The sequence below is a fragment of the Homo sapiens genome, chromosome 7 (assembly GCF_000001405.40).
Source record: "Homo sapiens chromosome 7, GRCh38.p14 Primary Assembly".
NCBI classification, from domain to species: domain Eukaryota; kingdom Metazoa; phylum Chordata; class Mammalia; order Primates; family Hominidae; genus Homo; species Homo sapiens.
This window is the reverse complement of record NC_000007.14, coordinates 153,045,488-153,072,235: the sequence shown is the minus strand read 5'-3', so window position 1 is coordinate 153,072,235 and position 26,748 is coordinate 153,045,488. Positions and strand designations below refer to the sequence as shown.

At 43.9% G+C, this 26,748-nt stretch overlaps 2 annotated features.

Annotated features, from left to right (window-relative positions):
- Positions 10,036–10,236: a silencer, noted in NCBI's record as "peak6860 fragment used in MPRA reporter construct". NCBI's record gives its function as "represses an SCP1 promoter by STARR-seq MPRAs in K562 erythroleukemia cells {active_cell/tissue: K562}" and the evidence as "EXISTENCE:reporter gene assay evidence [ECO:0000049][PMID:32103011]".
- Positions 24,035–25,234: an enhancer, noted in NCBI's record as "CDK7 strongly-dependent group 2 enhancer chr7:152744087-152745286 (GRCh37/hg19 assembly coordinates)". NCBI's record gives its function as "activates an origin of replication core promoter dependent on BRD2, BRD4, P300/CBP, MED14 and CDK7 cofactors, with strong dependence on CDK7, by STARR-seq in HCT116 cells {active_cell/tissue: HCT116}" and the evidence as "EXISTENCE:reporter gene assay evidence [ECO:0000049][PMID:35650434]".

The following is a 26,748-nucleotide window of genomic DNA, read 5'->3' as shown; positions in this document are numbered from 1 at the left end:
TCTTGAATCTTCAAGACTGGTTGAAGTTCAATATATTTTGTATAATACTTCTTCCCTTGTGAGAACTTTTCTATTCCAAATTACAGGTAGACATTTAGATGTGTAAAGACTTTGGTCATTATTTTTACTTACCAGGTGCCAATACATTTATTCCTAATAATCTGCTATAAATGAGGAGGTCAGGAAAACCTAAACAAGATAACCATAGGAGGACATCTAGTATGCAAATCAAAGCTCTGAGCCCATCTAGTCTAAAGAGCAGAACTCTCCTTCAGTAACTGGTAGGAGAGCTGGATGTCAGAAGGGAGGTCAGGGCATTAGCCAAGTCACGCTTCCTCACCTTTGGACGCCTACAGAAAAAGTGATTCAGGAATAGACAAATTACCACATTTGTTTTTCTTCCAGACATATATATTCTGGTTTGTCTCTTTCCAAAGACTCCTCAGGCACAGATTATCAGCTACTATTGATCCTACAATCCCCACTATTAATGTGAAACCACATCCACTCTCTGGCTAAGCAATCTCAGTGCTTGGACTTTTTGTCTTTTCCTAAAAGTATGTCCTCACTGATCATTCTTTTCTTCCACCATCAATCATTCATCACTTTCTCCCACTTTTCTTTCTCTAACCATTCTTATTTCTCCCTGCTTTATTATCTACTGCTTTATTTTCTTGCATAATGAGAATTCTATTCAATTTGCCAAACCACCACATGCTTAGACGTTTATGAATTCTCACGCACATATATTGTATAACCTGACTTCCAAAGGAAATTACAGGAGGCCCCCCTGCAAGTCTCCTCATTGGTCTTTCTTTCTCCAGCAGAGAGGTTAAGAACAGAAGTTTCCAATCAGAAGGCCTGGGTTAAACCCCTAACTCCTGCTCACCAGTTATATCATCTTGGTCAAAATATTAAACTCTCTAGATCTCAGTTTTCTCATGTATAAGGATAATAATACCTACTTATTAAATTATAGTGAAGATTTTCGAAGATGATGCACTTATGAACTTAGCACAAGGCTTGGCACAGCTTCCATTCAAGCGCTTACCACTTACAACAACCCCATCGCCTCTGGTTTCATGTTCCCTTCCCAAGACTTGGGTTAAGCTCCCACTGATGACGCTCAGTGCAGACACTTGGCTCTTCACATCCAGGTTCCTTCCCTCTCTGGGTTAAGAAAGGAGTAACCCATCCATGGGCTTCAAACCTAGATAAACATAAGACTTACCTGTAAAGATATGCAGATACTGAAGCTTCACTCCAGACTGATAGAGTCACAGTCTTTAAGAACAGTGATGTGCAACCAGGACACAGAAAGACGGGTTCACATTAGCTCCAACTTCCCAGGAGTCTGTGACAACCAGGACACAGAAAGACAGATTTACATTAGCTCCAACTTCCCATGAGTCTGTGATTCTAGATTCACTCTGTTTCCTTCTGATTATCTGAAATCCAATCATTTCATGCTCAACAATGTGAAAGCCAAGGCCATGTACAAAAAAATGATTACATTCTGCCTAGTGAACTTGCATATAATTCTCGAGAATATTTCCTGGACTGGAAATAAAACACTTGGACAGAAAAGTGGGTTTTTAACTCCGTTAAAAGGGGGGAAACGAAACTGCTTGTGAAGACTGTTACAAATTCCCAAACTCTCCTTCCAAGACCCCACAGAGGAAACTTAGAAAAGCAAGTTCTTACTTATTAAACAGCTTTCTGTAATAATTGTATAACATTTGTCTCATGCAAAAAGACACTGCAAAGATAGCTAAGTTATTTGTGGTTCCTTCTGTGTGGGATGAATATAGATACCTATAAATCTTCTAGACATGACCAGACAGCATCAATAAACTTGATTGATGGCCCAGCACTAACATAATTAAGAAGAATTAATCCTACAGACTCTGCAATGATAGGTGAGTTGTCCAGAAGAGCCTTGTCAGCACTTCAAATATTTCTCAACTGACAAAGATTGGACATTTGGGAAAAGCAAATATATGTAGTCAGACACAATCTGACAAGATCTACTAAGATGAATCAACCTCCCAACTATGGGGAAAAAAAAAAAGAAAAGGTATGTTAGGAAAGCAGACAGTAAGCAAAGTTTTATCTCTCAGACTCTAGAAGTCAGAGAAAGGTTAACTTCACAGATGTAGCTGATAAGAAAATGACCTAGAGTGATTTTACTACAGGACAGGAACATAGTCTATAGCAGAGCCACTCAAAGTGTGGCTTGCTGACTGGTGCCAGTCTGCAAACCGTCCCAGTTCACAAGCCATTAGTGGTGGAGCTTAAGTCAATGCCATTAAGCACACATTCAGTTTCGCCTTCTTTTTGTTCATAGCAAGACTCAATGAAGGAAGCATTGTGTTGCTTTAAATTTTGATGCAAGCTCTTAATCTTATCGAGGACTTGTAACAATCTACAGTCATCTAGAGTAGCACCCATCTAGAGTAGCCTCTTGGCTCTGATAACTTCACCGCTGCAGTGGGTGCCACCCAGATTCCTCTTTGGGAACGAGGTGCTCATTCCTCCAGCTGGACGTATCACAGCTCCAGGAGTTATTCTGGACCAGAGGGAGATGACCCACCTAAGGCCATTCCTTCTTCTTGGAGAGAGCTTGCACCCAATGATGGGTTGATGCAGGGGTACAAAGACCTGTCCTCATGCCTCAATGTGGACAGTTCTTAAGAGTCAACCTGAGGCCTCTGCTGCGATTTCTTCTTCCACCAAATCCTGTTCCCTTCACAACTCACAGGTATTGTTCACAAAAGACCATCACCTCCCCTCAATGAACTTCCTTAATGCAAATCTCAGCATCTATGTTCCAAGGGACTCAATCTGTGACATTCTGCTATTCACAGAAACATTATGAAGGACTTCCCATGATCTGAAGATAAAGCAGAAATAGCATGAAGGCCTTTGAGGTCCTCTGTGATATTGCTAAGCCCATCTTTCTAAATTCATCTCCCAGCATGGGCCCTACCCTGGGCACTGCTCTTCTCATCTCCTGACATGGGACCCGCCCCACTCACTTCTCTTCTCATCTCCCAGCTTGGGCCCCCACCCATTGCTCTTCTCATCTCCCCGCATGGGCCCTGCCCCACCCATTGCTCTTCTCATCTTCCAGCATGAGCTGCCCCCCAACCTAACAGTATTTCAGTTCATCAAGGTATTAACCTAATTTTGGTTAATTTTTTTAAATCCAGGAATAAACGCTCTTTTATATTCCACCACTTAAATTATTATACAGATCATCTTGAACAGTATTCATTTTTTTCCAAAAATATATGAGATACCCCTGTGCATGGGAGGCAAACCCCGTGCTTTGCACAATTTCTCTCTCCCTCACCCCTCCTATATACATGTGGGTCACTCTGTATCTCTCTCAGTCTCTCTCTCTGTGCCCGCATCTGTGTGTATCTCTGTCTCTCTCTTCACTCTTGAGACAGAGAGAGGGAGACTGTGTAGCTTTGCTCTATCAGCCTGCTCTTATATCCTTTGGAGATAAGCACCTTGCTTCCAGATTGTGCCCCACTGAAAGGTAAACACTTCAGAAGGATTACCATGAAGGCATTTCTGTTTGCTTAGAGGATTGATGTATGGATCATAATCTGTAGTGGAAGAATAAGGCATAGTCATAGATCCAAAATATAGGCACTCTCTAGCCAGAAGAAACCTGCATAGTGAGCTCTAGGCAGCCAAAAACAGAGAGTGAAGGACAGAAAAACGGTATACACTGGCCAGATTCCAGAAGTGCCTGCTAGGTGGGTATTTAGCTCCTCCTGGATAGAGGTGAGCATGGTGGGGGAACCAATCAGGAAACTGGTCGGGAAGGACAATGGAGAGGCTATAGTTGGGGAGATTAAAATCAAGTTTATCCTACTTGGGCTAGGATATCTGTTGGCTTTTACCTACATATATGTGTGTGTGTGTGTAAAAGAGAGAGTGTGTGTGTGTGTGTGTATGCCTGTGCATATACATCTACATATATAAGGTGTATGAATGTATTTAGGCAAGCACATCTGCACGTCAATGTCATCAGACTTGTGACCTTCCAGCTTCCTCTTCTGCAGTAGGGTATGCTTTCTTTGAGGTCTAGGAACTGTCTTAGAGAGAAGACTGCCAGCCAGGGTTAACAGTCTTCTGTTACCCATCTTTAAGCCAATAAATAAAGATGAATGCCTAACTAGAGGCATCTAGAGAACTCACCAATTAAGCACCCTGCAAATTTTCTCAGTTCCCTGGATACAATTTTCCTGGGTCAGCAGATACCCTCACCTAAATCAGGTTGGACATTTCTTACTGACTCTCACCCATCTCATTCTTCAGTTGCTTCTCTCCAGTGTTTGCTTTACTCTTCCCAGCTTGAAGGAGACAGCAGCAAAGACCTCAAAGTCCATTTTGTCCTGTGCCATCTGTCACCATCTGCCCCTTTCTTGTTCCTCATCTTGCTCCAAACACAGATTTTCTTTAAAAGCCTTTTTGATATCTTAAGCATTTTTCATAGTCACTTTTGCCCTTACTGACACATTTAAAAAAAAAAATTCAAGGCACGCTTTCAGACTCATTCTGCATTTGTGGCCCTTCCCTGACTCTTGAACATGTGTTATTAAAATTAAAATTCAATTCTTATTGCATCAAAAAGGACCCATGTAATTTCATTAAATATGTTCCCCCTCTTCTTACTTTTTTTTTTTTTTTTTTTTTTTTTTTTTGGAGACAGACTCTCACTCTGTCGCCCGGGCTGGAGTGCCGTGGTACAATCTTGGCTCACTCCAACCTCCACCTCCCAGGTTCAAGTGATTCTCCTGCCTCAGCCTCCCGAGTGGATGGGACTACAGGCACACGCCACCACAACTGGCTAATTTTTGTATTTTTAGTAGAGATGGGGTTTCACTATGTTGGCCAGGCTGGTCTCAAACTCCTGACTTCAGATGATCCACCCGCCTCAGCCTCCCAAAATGCTGGGATTACAGGTGTGAGCCACTGCACCCAGCGCCCTTTTCTTACTTTTTAAGATCAATGATATTACTTTCAGTGGCAAAAACTGCAATTACTTTTGTACCAACCTAATCAGAACTACCATTTCTTCATCATCAACATGTTATCTGAACACTACATGTGCTCTCTCTAATTCTTATAAGAAGTGGTATTCCCACTTTATTCCTACTACAGAACAGAAAGCTGGAAGGTCACAGAGCTTGGGTTTAAGATGAAAAGAGACGCCAAAGCACATACTCAGTGTTATGCCACGTTCCCTCTCATAATTATACTGTCAGGGTTTCAAGCTTCCTCTTGAGACACACATTATTGTTCAGTCTCTGACTCAGCTCACGCGGATCCCTTCCTCAGGCCTGAAGTCGGCTTTCCTAAGCTTTTCCTAAGGTGGATGTCTGGCAATGCCCTGTCTTGGCCTTTATGAATTTCACAAGACACAGGCACCTTCCCCCAGGTTCTCTCTGCTCTCAGTGAGCTCATTATTTGTTCTCAAAATAACATTTCTTCTCATTGTCCTCTCTGCTTCGTGGGAAATGGAAATTATAGCAAACTAAACCAGGAATCAAGCAATTTCACATCACAACCACGGTGAGCAATTTTGTATTAGGGGCATGGACCGAAATTTGCCTGGCAAGGAAAGTCCTGACAGCCCTAGGCAAGGCTTTCAGAGGTCATTTACTCTTTCTCCCTGGAGGGCACTTGAAGCAGAGGCTGAGGATTGTCTACCCGACTGCATCCTGCCCTCCTTCCCTACCTCTCCACCTTCACACACACTCCATGCAGCAGCCCTCACTCCAGTCCTCAGTGACTGCTACTGGGCTACAGGTGGAGGCATGACCCAAGGTGCCCGATCAGACTGAAGTGGAGTCTTTCTATACTGTGATTGGTGGGAAGTCTCTCAGGCTCACACTCTAAATATCCTCCCTCGACCTCCACTTGCTGTGTAGAAAAACAGAGACAGGTAGCCGCAAATATCGCCAGCTCCCATCGTGTTATCTGGTGACCATAGGCTATACTGTGGACATCTGAAAAGAAGCCTGGGCCTTTTTGGCATCATCTTCAACCCTGGGGACTACTCTTGCTCTGACCTCGAGTGTTTAAGAAAATAAATTCCCTATTGCTCAAGCCAATGTGAGTTGGAGATTTTTTTGTGACTTACAGTCAAGGTTACTCTGGCTGACGGTCTTCTCACCAACAGAGTTCCTAGACCTCAAGGAAAGCATACCCTACTCTTAGGATGAAATACTTGCACCTCTTCTTGGAGAGTACAACCTACAATTCAGGGAGAGAACATGCTAATTGTGGCGAACAACTAATGCTGGTGCTTCTTAACCTTTTCCACCAGGATACCACCAGTCAGAGGAGAGTGGTTAGAGATGATGGTGTCCTGGAGCCAGAGGCAGCTCACTACCATCACAAATTTTCCTTGAAGCTTCATATTTTAATGTAAAAAGTCATGAATAAGTTATAGTCTACTCCATGGTCATTAATAGAAAAGGACGAATTTTTCCAAACCTTTGTGGAAACTTGGTCCTCCAAGAAGCGGTTTTGCAAACCCTTCTAGCATACTGTCACGTACCCAGGGGTCCTGGCACCTCAGCTAGAGAATCACAAACTAGACAGAAGTCAAGACCAGGGTTGAGCCCACCGGGTCAAAACTCTTGGGGCTTTATCCTTACTTCACACCACAGCCACATGAACAGCTGTGCAACCGTTATGTTTCCAACCATTAGAATTCATAGTGTGCTTCATACTGCAAAACAGTGTTTTCAAATATACTACTTTATTTTCACTATAAAATCTGTGATACATGTAACTATTATTCCCATTTTACAGGAAAAAAAAAACTGAAGACCTGTCCAACTGTCTTATTTAAGATCACAGGACTTAGAGCCAAGTCTCAAATATGGAATTCCTTACTTTAGAATCTATGCTTTTTCTACTAGATGATGCTGCCTGTCAACATTTTTGAGCTGTAAGTTGGCAATATTCCCAACTGAGGAAACGGGGACTCAGGAAATGTGTCATAATTTGCTCAAGAGTTCAAGGTTGGTAAATAGTGAGCTCAACTTTCAAACCCAGGTCTACCTCATTTAAAACCTTATGCTGAATCCACTGCACTTAGGGGCCCAGTCTATTCAAAATAAGGCAAGTGGGTATTGCATGCCAGCCACCATTTTAACTCTTTGTTTATCACTAACTATGTGAATTATTGTAATCATCATCCCCATTTTACAAAAGGGAAACAGAGATGCAATGCAACTGAATATGTGCCCAAAGTGATGTGACTAGTAAGTGGCAGTGATAAGATTTAAACCCAGGCATTCTGGCTCCAACGTCAGTGTTCTCAGCCACTACATTTGTTGCCTCTATGGCAGAGAAGGCAGAACATGTGTGTCCTGACAACCAGCTCAAGGCAGGCATTGCATAAAAATGCCTGTTCTCCAGCACTTAGAACAGGTGGGTGGGTGGATGGGTAGATGGATGGGTAAATAGGTAGATGGGTGGAGGTGGAGATGGGTGGGAGGATTGGTGGATAGGTAAATGGGCAGATGGACAGGTGGGTGGATGGATGGATGAGTGGGTGGAAAGGTGAAAGGGTGGATGGGTGGATAGGTGAGTAGATGGATGGATGGGAAAATGGATGGTTGGATTTGTAGATGGATAGACACATAAATGAATGGATGGGTAATGACTAGATAGATGGGTAGATGGGTATATGGGTGGATAGATGGGAAGATGAATGAGTGGATGGGTGAGTGAATGGAAAGCTAAAATGGATAAGGCACATAGAAAGAGAGACAACGGAACAAGCTGCATAGAGCCTTGGTGTTTTAAGTGGAATATCATATACAGAATCACCTGGGACTTGTATCTGGTATATAATACACACATAGTCCGTAAATAAATACTGGCTAAATATATAAACCAACACAACAATAATCCTATAAAATAAGTATGAATAAGCCCACTTTCTAAGGTGCAGAAACTGAGGCTCATTCAAGCTAAATAACATGCTCAAAATCACACAGCTAATAAGTTATTAGAGTCTGGGTTCAGATATGAATCTGACAGCAAAACCCCATGCTGTGCTATCTCCCACAGGTAGACAACATCAGATGACAACACTGAAGCTGCCTCGGCTCTCTGATGGGCTCATTATACACCAGCCTCTCAATAGCATTCCATGTGTATAAGTGTGAGAGTGGAGGCAATGTGGGCAAGGTGGGGAGAGAGTTTGTCTTTTACTGAGATTTCACTTGCCTTATGGTTAAAAAAATCATCCATTTAAGGATTATTTCCCTTTTGCCCCATCAAATCATTGCAGAAACAAAGATTATTCTTGCAATCGTAAGCTTTCATTGTTGGAGGTTTTGAATTAATAAGATACAATTGTCTGATCCATGCTTTTTAGACAGCTTTCTACAGCTGCATTCTTAACCACAGCATTAGTCACCAGGAGCATCACTGAAGCTCACCTGTCATTCTTCTGTGACCCGACAAGCTCCCACATGTTGAAAGTGCCATCCCCCAAGGGGAAACAATCTTCTTCCTTCCGGAGATATAGCAAAGCTCTTCCCAGCATACCTCCTACAAACACCTGTCTTCTCCATAAGGTGAGAGTCCCTGCAATCCTGTGGGGGAAATCAGAGAACGAGGTGTGGGCTGCAAAGGAATCATGGGATTTTAAGAGCCAAAAAAGACCTGAGAGATCACTGACCGCCCTCACATTATGAGGGGAGACAGAAGCAGATCAGCAGAAAAGCATCATCCTCAAGGCCTCAGCCTCAGGTGAGAACTTTACATGGTCTCCAGGTAATGGTAGGCTGATACCCTCTGGGAGAGGGGGCTGCACTGCTTCTTCCTGCATGGAGGCTTTGAGGGACCTGGGAATTCCACATTCTCAGGAGCATCCTTTCAGCACCTCTATCCCAGATCTTAGCAGAGGAAACTTGTCAAAGCAAAGGAATCAAGATCCTTGGCAATCGTGCCATATTATGATTAAATCTGCGACCTGATTTTCTCCACAGCTTTCCCTCTAGCTGCAGATGAGGGTCTCCTGAAATGCTGCCATGAAAACCTTCGGGCCACCACAGAACACACCGAGTTGATGCTTGGATGACCTGCACCTCTCATTCTATTTCTTCAAGGTGTGGATCCCACTTTACCTCCCTGGTAGTTACCATCACCCCATTCCTTTTTTTTTTTTTTTTTTTTTTTGAGACAGAGTCTCGCTTTGTCACCGAGGCTGGAAGGCAGTGGCGCAATCTTGGCTCACGGCAACCTCTGCCTCCCAAGTTCAAGTGATACTCCTGCCTCAGCCTCCCAAGTAGCTGGGATTACAGGCGCGCACCACCATGCCTGGCTAATTTTTGTATTTTTAGTAGAGATGGGGTTTCACCATGTTGGCCAGGCTGATCTCGAACTCCTGACCTCAAGTGATCTGCCTGCCTCGGCTTCCCAAAGTGCTGCGATTACAGGCATGAGCCACCATGCTCATTCCTTTTAATTGCTAGAGTTGTTGCATAAATCAATGTCCTCACTTTCACATAGACCTCATCCCAATCTGCCCCAGTTGAAAGTCTTGATTATCGTAATGCTGCCATAGGTCAGGGCTGATAACCAGCCCACTGATTTCCAGTGACAGGATTCTTATATTCATATAGCCATGAAGCAATCCAATTTCAGAATCCTATCTTGAAGGTCTGCTTCATAGGGTCACTTCCAAGATAAATTGTGTTAATCTGATTCCCCAGAAAGTGGACTCTGATTCAACGAATTTTTCACAGAGAGTTTACTTTGGGTGGTGATGTCAAGAAACGAAAAGTGATTCGTGGAATAAAATTCAAGTTATTAATCTACCATAGACAACTGGAGCTCAAACCCAATGGGAATCATCTAGGAACCATGTAGAATTGCTCTATCACAGGATGGAGAGGTCGGTTATTTATCCACTAACTCCCACCCACCGTTGGCTGAGCATTCCCCGGAGGCATTGACTTCGTTATACTTTGGGTTGTACGTGTGCATAGTTGAAGCAGCCTTGAGTAGCCTCTGAGAAAGCTGATGAGCAAAGATCAGCTGTGTCGTTTGCAGTTTGTGTAATGCTGGCAGCGGGGCGTGGAGCTGTCCACGTAGCAGTGCTGAAATCAGGTCCAGGGACCATGGTACAGAGCATCACAAGCATCAGCTACCACACCTAGGAAGACATGTGAGTGCCAGAGAGTGCGAGATAAACCCCAGAAAGTTCAGAGGCCTGCTATGTGGTTGCACTTTCTAGCAGCACTGTCCAATAGAACTTTCTGCACTGATAGAAATGTCCTGTGGATAGGCTATCCCACACAGTAGCCTCTGGCCACACATGACCCTTGAGGGTCTCTAACATGTGGCTAGTGTGATGAGGGAACTAAATTTTTATTTTATTTATATTTTAATAATCCTATTTGGTGAATGATTACTGTACCAAACAATACAGTTCTAGAGTACCAATAATCTGAAGCATGTCAGGATATCCCTTCTAGGATAAGAGACAAGTTACTACACCTTGCACTGCTCATGTAAAGAGAGATGCATGGTGCTTGGTGAATTTCTTGGCATTTGGTAGCAACACATTCACCTTGGGGAATTCTATTCCTATCTGTGTAAGGAGTAACAGGTAATAAGGCTTCCAGCTTTAGGGCCTAGAGCAATAAAAGTCACTGCAGTAGATTCCAGCTGCAGTCCAAGCTGCCTCACTATTGACACTTATGACCAAGCAGAATGAATTATATTGGATGTGTCTGCAGCAGAAAGAGATGATAGATGGGCCTCTGGCCACCCTTATTAGTAGAAGCCTGAGGTCCTGGAGAGAGGCTATGTGTCCTCTGGCAACAACTATTCTCCGTGAAAAGGCATTCATGACCTGTTTTAGTCTGAGCACCTGATAATGGGAGGTCAGATGACTGAGTATCTCAAACTGCTACTTCTACCTGCACCATGGACAGTCAATGGCAGAACTGCATGAACTAGATATTTTCCCATCCACCAAACCATAAAGTTGTACATGCACAGGAGCACTTCGATAACAGAATGCTTCACCCATCACCATAATACCCAACACAGTATGGCCACAGTCCATGCTATACATGATGTGGCAATGAGAGGGCTGCCGAGTCTTGTACCCATGAAATTTACTGATCTTCTGACTGCCTAGCCCCCAGCAGCAGCTAGTGATGTGAGAAGGCCTAAGGAGGGCCTGTTATGGGTCAGCTAGAAGCTACACCCTGCAAGGCTAGGTGCTTCCTACTGGATTCAGTCTGTGGTTTGCCTGTGACCAATAAGTGATGCCTTCTCCCCCATAATCAGAAGTTTGTGAACAAATGAGTAGAACTGGGAGGACCCTCCCACCATAATACCAAATAACCCATGGGGATAATTTGTGCTTTCAGAACCACTCCCACCTCTAAACTTAGGCTGAGGGTCTGAGCTGCTCAAGAGAGGAATGCTGCCAGCAGAGAACATCCTCATGGATGGGATGAGCCAAAATCTGAGATAGTCCCCTGGTCATTTGGGGAGCTTAATGCTATTGAACCAACAGGAAGAGAAAGAGATCACAGAATTGGTCAGGATGGTTGATCCCAATTATCTAAAGGAACTTGGGTTGCTGCTACACAACTGGGCAAGGAAGACCAGATGTGGATCCTTCGGAGCTCACTGGGATGCTCTCAGTTCTCCCCTTTCCAGCAGCTCTTGTAAATGGCAACATGCATCACCTGACAAAGACAAGACTACCAATCATTAAATTCTATAGGAATCAAAGTTTGGGTCACCCCATTATGTGAAGAACCGTGTCCATCTGAAGTGTTAGTGGAGATTAAGAAGAATGTGAACTGGGTGGTAGGAGAAGTCAGCCACAATTATTAACATCAGTCTTTTTGTTCGTGTTTTTAAACAGTAGCTCTATCCTCCAGGCTGGAGTGCAGTGGTGCCATCTCAGCTCATTGCAACCTCTGCCTCCTGGGTTCAAGCGATTCTCATGCCTCAGCCTCCTGAGTAGCTGGGATTACAGGAGCCCACTACCATGCCTGGCTAATTTTTGTATTTTTAGTAGGGACGGGGTTTTGCCATGTTGGCCAGGCTGGTCTCAAACTCCTGACCTCAGGTAATCCATCCACCTCAGCCTTCCAAAAGTGCTGGAATTACAGGTTTAAGCCACCATGCTCGGCCAACATCAGCCTTTTAACCAGCTACAGAAAGGAAGCTTTGCAAGCTATATTTTAGATACATTAATCTTTCTTTCCCCTGGCCTTTTCTAATGCAACATTCCATGAAAACCCTGGTGGCAGCATATGTATGCATTAGGCAGGAGTGATGGAATGTGACACTCCATGAGGGCATGGCAGTCAGTTCACATTTGTGTGTCCCCATGTCCATATTGGAGACACGAAGTTTTCACCTGGATAAAAATGAGAGTGGGGCCTGGCACACGCCTATAATCCCAGCACTTTGGGAGGCCAAGGCAGGCAGATCACGAGGGCAGGAGATAGAGACCATCCTTGCTAACATGGTGAAACCCTGTCTCTACTAAAAATACAAAAAAAAAAAAAAGTTAGCCAGGTATGGTGGCACATCCCTGTAATCCCAGCTACTCGGGAGGCTGAGGCAGGACCATCACTTGAACCTGGGAGGCAGAGATTGCAGTCAGCCGAGATGTGCTACTGCACTCCAGCCTGGGCGACAGGGCGAGACTCCATCTAAAAACAAACAAACAAACAAACAAACAAACAGAAAAAAAAAATCAGAGTAGATGCTATACGGCAAAATGGGTGAAGAGCTTCTCTTTGCCCCTCCACATCCACTCCCCACTGACCTCCATATGCCTATGCCCCAGGATGCTGACCTTTGTAGAAAGTCCCCTGATTGCAGTTTTGATGTGGCCAGTGGGTATCACTGTCGGATTGGAGAGAACAGAGAGAGTGATGGGGGTACTTCTTGCCTCAGCTTCCCCTCTCCTGGGTCACCATGGACTTGCCATATCTCTCTATCAAAGACCACAGCCTTTGTCAGTGTCCCTCTACACACAGCTATGTTCTCTGGATTCAGCTGCCCAATCTCCTTGAAGGTCCAGGAGTAGTAATGGGCCCATAGCTGCTAATCCCAGGGTCCCACTACCCCTTCTAGGCTTCCTAAAACCTGCCTGGGCCTCCTACATATAGTCTCTCGCTGAATTCCCCTCCCTTTCCCAGTATGAATTTGCCCTCTGTTTCCTGCCAGGATCTGACCAATATGCCTCTGTAATTTACGTTTTTATGTAATTCATTTGCAAACTTCACAATCTCATAACAAAATATTTGTTCTATATCTTACAATTGAGAGACTCACTTAGTGGTTGAAAACCATCTTCATGTCTAATAAAGTTGGCCACTGTGCCAGGCACTGGACCAGCCCCTAGGGACATAAAAATGCATGGAGAAATCACTTCTCAAGAGGAGCCCACAGTCTGGTGGCAGAGAGTCACACCAGTCAGTTGCAGCAGTGCATAGGATGTGTTATGGTAGAAATGGCCCAGTTGTCCCTGGCAGCAGAGTGAAAGGGGCATCTACCCAGAGGAACATGGGAGGGTTGTGGAGAGCAGGTAAAAACTGAATAGCTTTAGAAAATGAGGGTCACAGAGCAGGAGCAAGAAAGCGGAGAATGGTAGATCACTGAAAGGCCAAAGGAAGGCGGAAGAGGAAGTGGGGGTGACATGAGAGCAGCGTGTCCTTCACAAAACACCCACATGATCCAGAGCTGGATGGACACGGTTTTGGAGCACAAAATCCATCCAGCTTCTCTGCTAAGTGAAATAACTAAAGGGTAGATGCATTAGCTAAGTCACCCACCATAAGTCTTTCATCAAACATCAAGCATGAGTAGGGAATATCCCCAAATGTACCTCTTAAATTAATACTCAACTTCTTGTGTCTTTCAAGCCTTGCTGGAAACTTTAATTCTTGTGCGTTTCAAATGAACCTGGAATATGAGAAATTGGTCACTAAGAGCAATTACATGGCTGCTCTTACGTGGTAAGGAATTGTCTTAAGAGTATTACATGGCTTTTCCCTGTGGAGTGTAATCTGTTGCTAGGCTGGGAAAATGGGCTGGGAACAGATAGATCAACAAGGTAATAATTCTCAGTGCAGCCCCCAAAACCACCTCAGTGGCCAAGGAGAGATAACATGCAAGGAATGTGTGATCATTCTCCAGGTGTCACAGGCTCAGGAGCAAAGATCGGGTGATGTATTCCCGGCAGGTGGGAATTTGGGTGCTGATTACGTGCAGCTGTGCCAGGCGAGAGTGCTGGCATTTGAGGGACAGTCACTTGTCAAGGGACCTGTTTAATCTCCTGTCAGCCCATTATCCTAGCTAAACAGTTTCAATCTGGCTTCACCACTCTGATTAAAACTGTTGACAAAGAAAGTATTGCTTTACAAGATCAAGCACGGCAAATAGTGTGTGTATCAATTGGTTTATTGTAGGGCAGATGGGAGTGTCCAGAATCAGAGAGACAAACCACATTTCCTCTCCAGGTGAGGACTCACAGGGCCAGGTCTGTGTCACATTGAGAGTCAAGCACTTCTACGTGCACCATGGAGAGTCAATGCCAGATCCATGTCACATTGAGAGTCAATGCCTCCTAAGCACCTCGATGTGCACCACTCCTGTGTTGCACATGCCCCTCTTTGAAAATGCTACATGATTTATAGATCTATAACATTTTTACTTAGTAATCATGTCTCTGGGTGTAGAGCACCTCATGGTTTCTGAGATCCTTCATCATACATTGTTTCACTCTATCTTCACAAAAAAGAGAGGCAATTGCAGTAGACACATTTGACTAATCAGGGAACAGAGGCTTAAAAAAGTAGTGACTTTTATGAGTTCAGATATCACCTTCCTTTCCCATTCCTCCTCCTCCTCATTCTCTTCCTCCTTCATCTTTTTTATGATCACTATCTTCACTATTATTTCCTTCTCTCTTTAATTAAATGGCTACCACATACAGATTGAGCACTCCAAATCTGAAAATCCAAAATCTGCAGTGCTCCAAAATCTGAATTTTTTTTTTTTTTTTTTTTGAGATGGAGTCTCACTCTGTCACCCAGGTGCAATCTTGGCTCACAGCGACCTCCGCCTCCTGGGTTCAAGTGATTCTCCTGCCTCAGCCTCCCCAGTAGCTGCGATTACAGGCACCTGCCACCATGCCTGGCTAATTTTTATATTTTTAGTAGAGACTGGGTTTCACCATATTGACCAGGCTGGTCTCAAACTCCCAACCTCAGGCGATCTGCCCGCCTTGGCCTCCCAAAGTGCTGGGATTACAGGCATGAGCCACCATGGCCAGCCCAAAATCTGAAACTTTTTGAGTGCTGACATGATGCTCAAAAGAAACGCTCATTGAAGCATCTCAGATTTTGGACTTTCAGATCGAAAGTCAGCATAATGCAAATATTCCAAAATCTGAAAAAGTCCAAAACACTTCCAATCCCATACATTTCAAATAAGGGATACTCAACCTGTACAATGTGTTGTATTGGACACATTATGGACATGGCTATTCCTTTTTTCAACATACTCAGGGGTGCATATTTTTATCTCTTTTCATATAAATGATGGAAGAGGCCATAAAAAATTAAATGCCTGTGATGGTTAATTTTCTGTGTCAACTTGACTGGGCTAAGGGATGTTCAGATAGCTGGTGAAACATGATTTCTGGAGCATCTGTGAGGGTGTTTGGGGAAGACATTAGCATTTGAATTGATAAACTGAGTAAAGAATATCTGCCCTCCCTAGTGCGGCTGGGGATCATCCAATCCTCTCAGGCCCTGAATAGGACAAAAAGGCAAGGAAGGGTGAATTCTCTCTCCCTCTCTTCTTGAGCTGGCACATCCTCCTTCTCCTGCCTCAGACCTTGGTGCTCCTGGTTCTGGAGCCTTGGACCCTGGACCAGCAGTCCCCTCCTCACCCCTAACCCCTGTCTCTCAGAACTTCAGACTCAAACTGAATTACATCGTCAGTTCTCCTGGTTCTGCAGCTCACAGATGTCAGATCAGCAGGTTGTGCGGCTTCTCGGCCTGTGTAATCACGTGTGCTGCTTCTCATAATAAACCTCCTCTTACACATCTGTATATATCCTGTTAACTCTGTTTCTCCAGAGAACCTTAACTAATGCCATGGTGGACCTAGCTAGTCACACACATATCTAGGAAAAGGAAGAATCATGGTTAGAATCTAGCTTTTGCTGATACCAAAGACCAAGCTAATGGTTTCCCTCACAAGACTAAAAACTGTCGTTTGTTTTTTTTAAAAAAAAAAGTTTATCTAAATGCACCATGTTTTCCCTCATACACTCTTATTTTTATAGTCATTATCATCATTGATCTCTCCCTACAGAGGTGGATTGAGGAGCTGTTTTTTTCTCCTCGTGAGGGCTGGGGAGACCAGGCACAGGTTTGACCAGCAGCAGCCACGTGGGAGTCAGGAGTGGATCTTGGTGTGTTCCCATGGAAAGCCCAGTGCTGGCCTCACCAGCTCCTATCTCAACTCTACTGCCTTTTCTCAAAGTGCAGATAAATGGAGAAGGGGAAGCAGAAGGAGGAGCTGGGAGATATACTGTTGGAGATACAACAAGAAACAAAACAGATGTGGTCCCTGCTCTTGGGGACAAACGGGTTCAGTGAAAGGGGCAGCAAATCATAAAAAGTACTTCTAAACAATTATTAAATTAAGAGAATCCAAAATTAACTTCAGAGGCCATTAATGAGATATTTGCAAAGTGAAATTTGTGCAAAGTGTAGGAGATGCGAAGTGAAATTTGCACAAAGAGGAGGAGATTTGCAAAGTGAAATGTGTGCAAAGAGTGCTTCATGGTTACATCACTTAAGAGATAAGCAGGTACAAGTGGAGTAGGTGGAACAGATCAGCAGACACATCTCACAGTCTAACCCAATACTACTCAATATCCACTGATTGCTATTTGTCCTCCAGAAGAAAGCTAGGGGAGTAAATCAACAACAGCCAAATGAGCTACAGCTGGCCCTAGAAACCCTGGGAAGAAGCAGATGCATCTTCAGCCATCACTCCCTCTGCCAGCTCCTCCTCCCCATGCCTGCAGTGGAGCCCTGTGCTCTCTCACTCCCCTCCTCCTTCACCATATCCAAACTTGTCCTCAGAAAAACATGACCACACAATGAGAAGATCACAGGACAAGAGCCAAAACTCTTGATGTCGCTCCCAGCTCTTCCAATTACCAGTTGGGTTCAGTCATTCAACCTCTCAGATCCTTAGTGGTTGTGGTCATTTTAATGTACTAATACTTTCCATATCTTCCTCACAGTTTATAGTGAGAATCAAACATGAATTTTTTCAAAAGTACATTCATAAAGTGCTGAGATAGCTTCCATGCAAATATTTGTAACAGTATCTGGCACACAGTAGACATGTCATACGTGATACAATGCTTTAATCAAGTGGGCCTTAAGTTCTTTTATGTCTCTCAAACACTAGAGTTGTATGACTTTAGGCATTTCCTTCCCTTAGTAACAATTAGATGGGAGAAATGAGCCCTTTGGGTGAGCTCAGCCTTCCTTGGTGGTAACAAGAGAAAGGGAAAGCACTCAAAGTAATGAACTGCCACCGTTTCCGATAACTTGTCAATTCATAAAGGCCAACATACCAGGAGGATGAGTTCTACCATCCTTGAGTCCTTGGAATCCTTCTATGCAGGAATGGCCACCATGTAGAACTGGTGACACGATGTTGACTTACAAACATTTAAATTACTTACACTGACTATAATAATAGCAGAAAAACAGGATCTGCATGCCCCCAAGAAGCTCCAAAATTGCAGCAGTTGCATAATCATTTTTGTTTGCAACACAAGACTCTACTTGAGCTGTGTTATTCATTTTCCAGTGTGCATACCTCTCCCAACTCCGCTCTGACTTTCCTCCAAAAAGAAACAAGGAGAGGTTTATTCCTTCCTTGATATTTCTCCTAAATGTCCACATAGGACCCATGAGATGGGCATTAACCCCTTCAATGAGCTTTAGGAGGGTCTCACTCTCTGTTGCTCATCATAAATTAATTTGTGGAGGATGCCCGATGACTGGAGTTGCCAGGTGAAAGCCTGCTCAGTTGAGTTACAAATGGAGATTCAGCTCCACATGGTCACATTCTTAGAAAGAAGTAGCAGAGCAGGGACTTAAGCCAAGGAAATATGGCCTTAGAATCCTTTCTTGGGTGAGGAGGGTGAGGAATGGGGAGTTGGTCAAAAGGCACAAAGTTTCAGTTAGGATAGGTAAGTTCTGGAGATCTATTGTACAGCTCATGACCATAGTTAATAATATTATATTGCATATACATGCTTATGTTGGGGCTAACCATCATAAGATGAAAATATTGTACCCAAAAATGCATTTAATACACCTAAACTACCAACGTCATAGCTTAGCCTAGCCTACCTTAAATGTACTCAAAACGCTTACATTAGCCTACAACTGGGCAAAGTCATCTAACACAAAGCCTTTTTTTTTTTTGAGATGGATTCTCGCTTTCTCTCCCAGGCTGGAGTACAGTGGTGCGACCTCGGCTCACTGCAAGCTCCGCCTCCCGGGTTCACGCCATTCTCCTGCCTCAGCCTCCCGAGTAGCTGGGACTACAGGCACCTGCCACCACATCTGGCTAATTTTTTGTATTTTTAGTAGAGACGGGGTTTCACCGTGTTAGCCAGGATGGTGTTGATCTCCTGACCTCGTGATCCACCCATCTTGGCCTCCCAAAGTTCTGGGATTACAGGCGTGAGCCACAGCGCCGGCCCACAAAGCCTATTTTGTAATAAAGTATTCAATATCTCATGTAATTTATTGATGTTCTGGAATGCGTATAGCTTTCACACCATTACAAAGCCAAAATATTGTTAAGTTCAAGACCATTGAGAGTGCTTCTTAAATCTCCTGACCACACACACAATTAGCATGTAAAGTGATTAATATGTTAATTGGCTTGGTTTAATCATTTCATTATATATATCAAAACATCATATTGTATACTGTAAATATATACAATTTTAATGTATTCATTACACCTTAATAAAGCTGAAAGGGGGAGGAGAAATATAAAACAAAATAAAAAGAAGATGTAATAACGCCTTGGATGAATTGCTGTCAGACTTTCCAAACCAGCCATTTCTTCTAACTTGTCATTAGTCAAGAAATGCCCTGTACTATGATTGTTTGTCAATATTATGCTAGTTTAAAGTAACAACATAAGAAACAAACAAATAAATCTTTTGGGGACTTAAACTTATTAGACAAATTAGATACAAGACAAAAGTATTTCTAAGGATAAAACTGTTAATTCATAATGTAATTGTAACTTGAAAATAAAATTCTTTTCATCAGTCATCCCTCTCCTCTCAGTCCCCCCGCAAAAAAGATTCTATCCTATTAACTTCAACACTATAACCAGAGGAGCAATACAGTTCCTGGTGGAAGGGAAGAGAAGATTTTTCACAAAGCATGACAGAGGTAAGAAAGTGGAGAGAACACCTCACCATCCATGACACTTGGCTGGGAAATGGCCCTGGATATTTTCAGGGATGAAAATGTCTGTTTCATTTTGTTGTATCTTTGAAGATAGAATGAAACTACCAGGAAAGCTGAGCCCTTGTCTGCTTTTGTTACTCCTCTTCTTGGGGGAAGTTTTTTCCTTTTGAGGAAAGTCACTATAAAGACATCAGATGAAGACAATGGCTTTTCTCTGCAGTCAGAGTCACCCAGAGTTTCCACACATACTAAGACTCTATCCTTTTACGAGAGGCGGTAGATGAAAAGGAGAAGGCGGGGAAAGCAGGGGCTTTGTGTAGACAGATCTAGCATAGCATCACGGCTCTTCCTTTCTGAGTTATTTGACCTTGAGCCTCCTTTTCTTTGCTTGTAAAGGAAGGCAAATTCTATCCACCTTGCAGTGTTGTCGTGAGAATCAAATGAGAAAACATATGCAAAGCACAATGCCTAGCAAATGGTGGGCATTCAGGTAATACGATTTTCCCTTTCCATTTTGTCATGTTTTCCTTCTTCTTGTCTGCCTTTCTTCCATACACTTCTGCTCTCTCTTTCACCTTTGTTCAGCCTTGCCTCTCAGATCCTTCATGCATCAAATGTTCTTCCTTCCTGCTCCTTGTATTCATGTCTCCTGATGACAGTCCTTCATCCAGCCAGGTAACCTTCTTACTCTGCTCTGCATACACTTAATAGGGCATCCCCACACTTACTTGACCACTGAACCTCTGGGGCTTCACAAGCCCGTCTCTCTTCTTCCTGCAGAGTTGCCAACATCACTTCATCACTCAATCTTGCTTCAGTGCATTAGCTCATGCCATTTCCCATGCAGACTTCTCAGACTTCTAAGCTTGGTTTCTCACCTTCCTCCCAGGAGCTTTCTATGACAAAGCATCATTAGCTGAATTATCAGGGACATGTCTTTCTGAAGGTGGCAGACCTTGGATAGGAGATAGTTAAGGACGATGGGGTGGGTTGCAGGCCCAGCAGTTGGCAAATCAGGAGGGGGTTTGCTTGGAGCAACTGAGCTAAAAGACTGGACATCTGTCTTTGAAGTTGGGAACACAGCAGAGCAGGATCCTGGCTCTTAAAGGATAGAGCTACTGGGCAGGGAACTAGAGCTTGGGACCAGACAGGAACCCCGTAATATTAATAGAACTACGAGAAGGACAGAGAAGAAAGACCAGCTGGAAACTGGACAGTGATGCCGAGCCTTTGACCTGCTACTGGCATGTGTTGGTTCTGAGCTGTCCTGCAGGCCATGGGGACTGTGATTCATGATCTATTGCTGCTGTAACTAATTACTACAGGACGACACAAATTTATTATCTTGCCGTTTCTGTGGGTCAGAAGTTCAACACGAGTCTCACCAGGTTGAAATCAAGGTGTCTGCAGGCTGCATTTCTTTCTGGAGGCTCTGGGGAAGAACTCATTTCCAAGCTCACTCGGGTTATTGGTTGAATTCAACTTCTTGTGGTTGTAGGACTGAGGTCCCCATTTCCTTACTGGACACCAGCTAAGGGCCACCCTCAGCTCCTAGGAACTCCTCTCTAGTCCTTACATATGGGTCCCTGCATCTCAGAGGCAGCAATTGTGCGGTGATTCCACTTCAAGCTTGCAGTCTCTCATGCCCATCCTACATCTGTCTGACTCCAGCTGGGCAAAGTTCTTTATTTTCAAGGGCTCATGTGATTACAGTGGCCCGTAGAGACAATCCAGGAAAAGTTTCCTCTATTAAGGTCCATAATTTTAATCACATCTGCAAAGTTTCTTTTCCATGTAAGGTTACACATTCATAAGTTCCAGGGATTAGGGTGATGACATCTTTGTGGGAGGTACTATTCAGTTACCACAGGTTGATTTCATAGAAATAGAAATAGTGTTTACCAGAAGCTGGGACATTGAAGGGTGGAGGACTGGGGAGATGTTGGTTAAAGGATACAAAATTTCAGTTAGACAGGAGGAATAAGTTCGACAGACTTGTGCAACATGGTGACTATGGTTAATAACATACTATATTCTTGAAAAAATGCTAACGGAGTGCATATTAAGTGTTCTCACCATAAAAGTTGTAAATACGTGAGGTAATGTGTATTTTAGTTAGATTTATGCATTCACAATGTATATACATATATCAAAACATCATGTTGCACATGGTAAATACATACAATTTTATCTGTCAATTTAAAAAATAAAATAATAAATAAAAGGAGATAAAAGGCACATAAAGGATGCATAGTGCACCTCTGAGGGATTTATGTTCCTTTGTTTTTCTCCAATTTATATCTGTTTCTTCAGACTTTTTTTTTTTTTTTGAGATGGAATTTTGCTCTTGTCACCCAGGCCGGAGTGCAGTGGCACGATCTCAGCTCACTGCAACCTCCACCTCCCTGGTTCAAGCGATTCTCCTGCCTCAGCCTCCCAAGTAGCTGGGATTACAGGCATGCGCCACCATGCCCAGATAATTTTGGCATTTTTAGTAGAGACAGGGTTTCACCATGTTGGCCAGTCTGGTCTTGAACTCCTGACCTCAGGTGATCTGCCCACCTCCGCCTCCCAAAGTGCTGGGATTATAGGTGTGAGCCACCGTGCCTGGCCTGTTTCTTCAGACATTAATTCTCTATCAGTCTTCCTATTGTTAACATGGACTGCTTGATTGAAGTTACATCTTGCTAATGTGTTTACATACCACTTTTGAAGAGATGAAGGGCAAATTATTATTAATAATATTAATGATGCATTACAGTGGTGCAGCTTTGTACCTCAGACAGCACTTTTATATGCCTTATTTCACTTCATGGTTGTTTTTTTTTTTGTTTTGTTTCTTTGTTTTTTTTGAGACAGAGTCTCACTCTGTCACCCAGGCTAGAGTGCAATGGCGCAATCTTGGCTCACTGCAACCTCCACCTGCTGGGTTCAAGCAATTCTCCTGCCTCAGTCTCCCAAGTAGCTGGGATTACAGGCGCACACCACCACGCCCAGCTAATTTTTGTATTTGTAATAGAGACGAGGTTTCATCATGTTGGCCAGGCTGGTCTCAAACTCCTGACCTCAGATGATCCACCCACCTCAGCCTCCCGTGAGCCACCATGCCCAGCCGCTCAGTTCATGCTTTAAACATTTCTGTGCTGTAGGGAAGGCTTTCTACAATGCACTCTCAACATTTATGAGTGATTTTTTTCCAGAAGCCTTCTCAGATCTTCAAAATCAGTTATTTCCCCCATAAAATGGAATAAAATGCACCTGAAAGGCTTAAAGAATAACTTCAGACATGATAAAGAGAGAACAACAATGTCTTATGGTGAGGAAGAAGCTACAGTCCCAGGCAATGAGCTCAGAGCTGCAGTTCCAGGCCCAAGGCCTCGGAGATCTTCCTGCCTGTGACCAGCAGCCCTCACTCAGCCTCTCAGCCTACTTCAGACACTCCCTCTTCCTGGCCATGTCATGGGCCATCGATCACCTGTGATGGTCGAAACAGGGGAAGCTGAATTTCCAAGGATCTGCTGCAGGATGGTGAACTGTCATGGTTCATCGTCAGCATTTCCCCACACCACCCCCGTTGGCAGATGCCCCTCACTATTTATGGAAATACCTCCCAGTCATCTCTGAACTTAGCCTCCAATCCTTCTTTGGAGCAGTGTTCTAAGTAGCCACGACCAATCACTTAGAATTGGTACAAAGCTTGCCCTCTCTTCACTCTGGTGCTATATTATTATTCTGCCATTCTAACGTAATCAGAAGGATTCTACATGACTTAACCAGGCTCAGAGAACTGTGGGATATCAGAATGGGAAGTGCCCCCGGAGACTGAGAACAGTCCATTTATTTAATAGATGGAAACTAGAGAAGTGATGTGGATCACCCAGGGGAATCTATGGAACAGGACCAGGCCTAGATTTTCCTGCCCAGTCATCTACTAACATTATTAATTGGCTTTCCAAAGAAGAGGCTGGGAGCAGTGGCTCATGCCTGTAATCCCGGCACTTTGGGAGGCCCAGGCAGATGGATCACTTGAGGCCAGGAGTTTGAGACCAGCCTGGCCAACGTGGAGAAACCTCGTCTCTACTAAAAATACAAAAATTACCCGGGCGTGGTGGCACACATCTGTAATCCCAGATACTTGGGTGGCTGAGGCAGGAGAATCAGTTGAACCTGGGAGGCAGAGGTTGCAGTGAGTCAAGATGGAGCCACTGGGTGACAGATTGAGACTCCAGCTCAAAAAAAAATAAACAGAAAAAAAAAGAAGAGAATCCCCTTGTGCTCCCCATTCTTCATTATAAAATTATAGACCGTCTGAGTCAAAAAGAACCCTAGTGCCCACCTGACCCCACTTCCCATCCGCTATGGCCATTATCAGAATGTGCCCAGCATCAGGGAGTTCTTTGTCAAGAACCCTTTCCATTTTGGGTCCTAACTGAATTAAAATCTTCCTCCCTAGAGCTCTCAACAATTGGCCCTAGTTTTTCCCTTTACAAGAGCCCCACAAGCTGGTGAATGTATATTCTTTTCCTGGGAGGATAGAAGTTTAATTTAGTTAAATGCATCGATCTCCAGATGGCTCCTACAACATAAATCAAACGGTGACCATCCTGAGCACGATTCTGGGTGGGTAGGAAATAGTTTTAGGTAAACTGATGTTCCGTGGGGAACTTTAAAACAGCTCCTTCTAGACAGCTGCTTTCTCCTACACGCAGGGCCAGGCCTGGGCTCCTGGGAGCACCAGCCCTGAGTGGGGCACCTGCAGTCAGAAAGCCGCAGCCAGGCTGCTGTCACTCAGGCTGCCATGGAGGGCCCCTGCCCGTCATCGAGATGTCACCTTAAAAGAACTTTCTGAGGGTGAAAATGGCTTCCTCTAGGCGTGCGAGCTTCTTCCCATCCGCATTTTGACAGATGGTAATTTTTTTCCACAATGTAAGCCGTTTGACATGAAGAGTGTGCTTTTCCAAGGCACGTTTGAACTGATCGTTCGCCATCAGCTTTTGACAAAGCTACATATTATCGGAAATACCAAAGGCACAGCTCTCCTCTCCGCTATAACTCACGAAGCATATTAGGCACTGAAATTCTAATACCTCATTTTCATGACAAACGATGCAACAAGAGCCCAAAATGGCTGCCATGAATCTCCGTTGCTGACTGTGATCGCCCTAGGAGAAGGAAAGTGCCCAGCACTTAACCTCTCTGCTCCAGCATGTGGTTGCATGAAGCACAGGGGACAGCTGGCCACGTGTTAAGGCTGTCATTCACATGGCTTTGGCACCCTTGTAACTTGGAGTAGACTGAATTCTGAAGCACAGGAAAACATCAGGAAACTGGAAGGATAGCAGTTACACCGACATTGCCCCGAACACAGGGGCCTTGGTGCAGAGTTGATTGACAGCTGCAGGAGTGAAGTCTTCCTATTGAAGCAGCACATTCATCACTGTTGAAAATGGCTCTTCAGGGGCCCTGTAGGAGCATCGGAGGGTTTCCAAACTGTTGGTAAGTCTTCATTTTACTCAATTGGTATGCAAACGGAAACACTAGCCAATGCTTCTATCAACCCTGGAGTCCCCAAGTACACACTCAGCCTTAGTTATGACACTTTTCCCTACAGAGCAGAACTCAGAAGTAGAAAATGGGCTAACTTGACCCTCCTGTAGGAGACTCAAGCAACTAAAATACAAGGGGCTTGCATTAGTCAGGGTTCCCTGCAGAAACAGAACCTATATACACACACACATATATATATACACACACACACACACACACACACACACCACACACACACATATATACATACCCATATATATGTGGAGAAACAGAACATATATCTATATATATGGGCCAATTCCCAACATATATATGAGTAAATCTCTGTCACTCTCTCTCTCCATATACATGTGAAAAAACAGCATGCATATATATATATATATATGCATGCCAATTTCCTATGGTAGTAAATCTCTCTCTCTCTCCCTGTCCATATGGAAAATTGATAAAAATTTTCCATATGGACATATGAAAAAATGATAAAATTTTTTCTAGAAAGAAAATACATTACTGTCCATATGGAAAGGAAGAGAGAGAGATTTACTACTATAAGGAATCAACTCATATGATTATGGAGGACAAAAAGTCCCAAGATCTGCAGGCTGAGTCTACAAGCTGGAGACCCAGGAGAGCTGACAGTGTAGCTGCAGGGTCGAGACCCAAGAATAGTTGATGTTTTGGCTTGAGTTTGAAGACAGGAAAGAATGGATGTCCCAGCTCAAAAGCAGGCAGGCAGGCAGGCAGGAGAAACTCATGCTTTTTTAGCTTTCTTTGTCCTGTTTAGGCCTTCACCTGATTAAATGAAGCCCACCCACTCTGCCTTACTCGGCCTACCTGTTCAAACGTTAATCTCATCCAGAATCACCCTCGCAGACACACACAGAACAATTTTTGACCAACAGTCTGGGCCCTCTGTAGCCCAGTCAAACAACACATAAAATTAACCATCACAGCACCTTCTTATCAGCAACACTGGTGTAAGACAAGTCAGTGGCCCCAAGATCTCTGTGATGTAAAACCTTGGAGGAGATAGATGAAATTTTTTCTAGAAAGAAAATACATTACTGAGAGGCAGAGATGAACTTTTAGAGAGAGAAAGAGAGACAGAGTTAGACTAAGTTTGTATCTATTTTTAAAGACTGTAATTTAGAGCGGTTGTGGGATTTTGGGGGTCTGTCTTTCATTTTGTTTTTTGAATGAGGAATTTCTCTGACAAAGCAGTCAACGTGTGCTCCCAAATCACTTAGTAAGCAGACTAAAACAAAAAAAGTCTACAATTTTGAGATTTTGGAACTATTTGTCTAAGCAATGTAGAAGTTGGCATCATAGAGGCAGAAAGATGTGTCTTTCTTCATTAAAAAGTTCTAAATTGGCCAGGCTCGGTGGTTCATGCGTGTAATCCCAGCACTTTGGGAGGCTGAGGCGGGTGGATCACGAGGTCAGGAGATCGAGACCATCCTGGCTAACACGGTGAAACCCCGTCTCTACTAAAAATACCAAAAAAAAATTAGCTAGGCGTGGTGGTGGGCACCTGTAGTCCCAGCTACTCGGAAGGCTGAGGCAGGAGAATGGCGTGTACCCAGGAGGCGGAGTTTGCAGTGAGCTGAGATTGTGCCACTGCACTCCAGCCTGG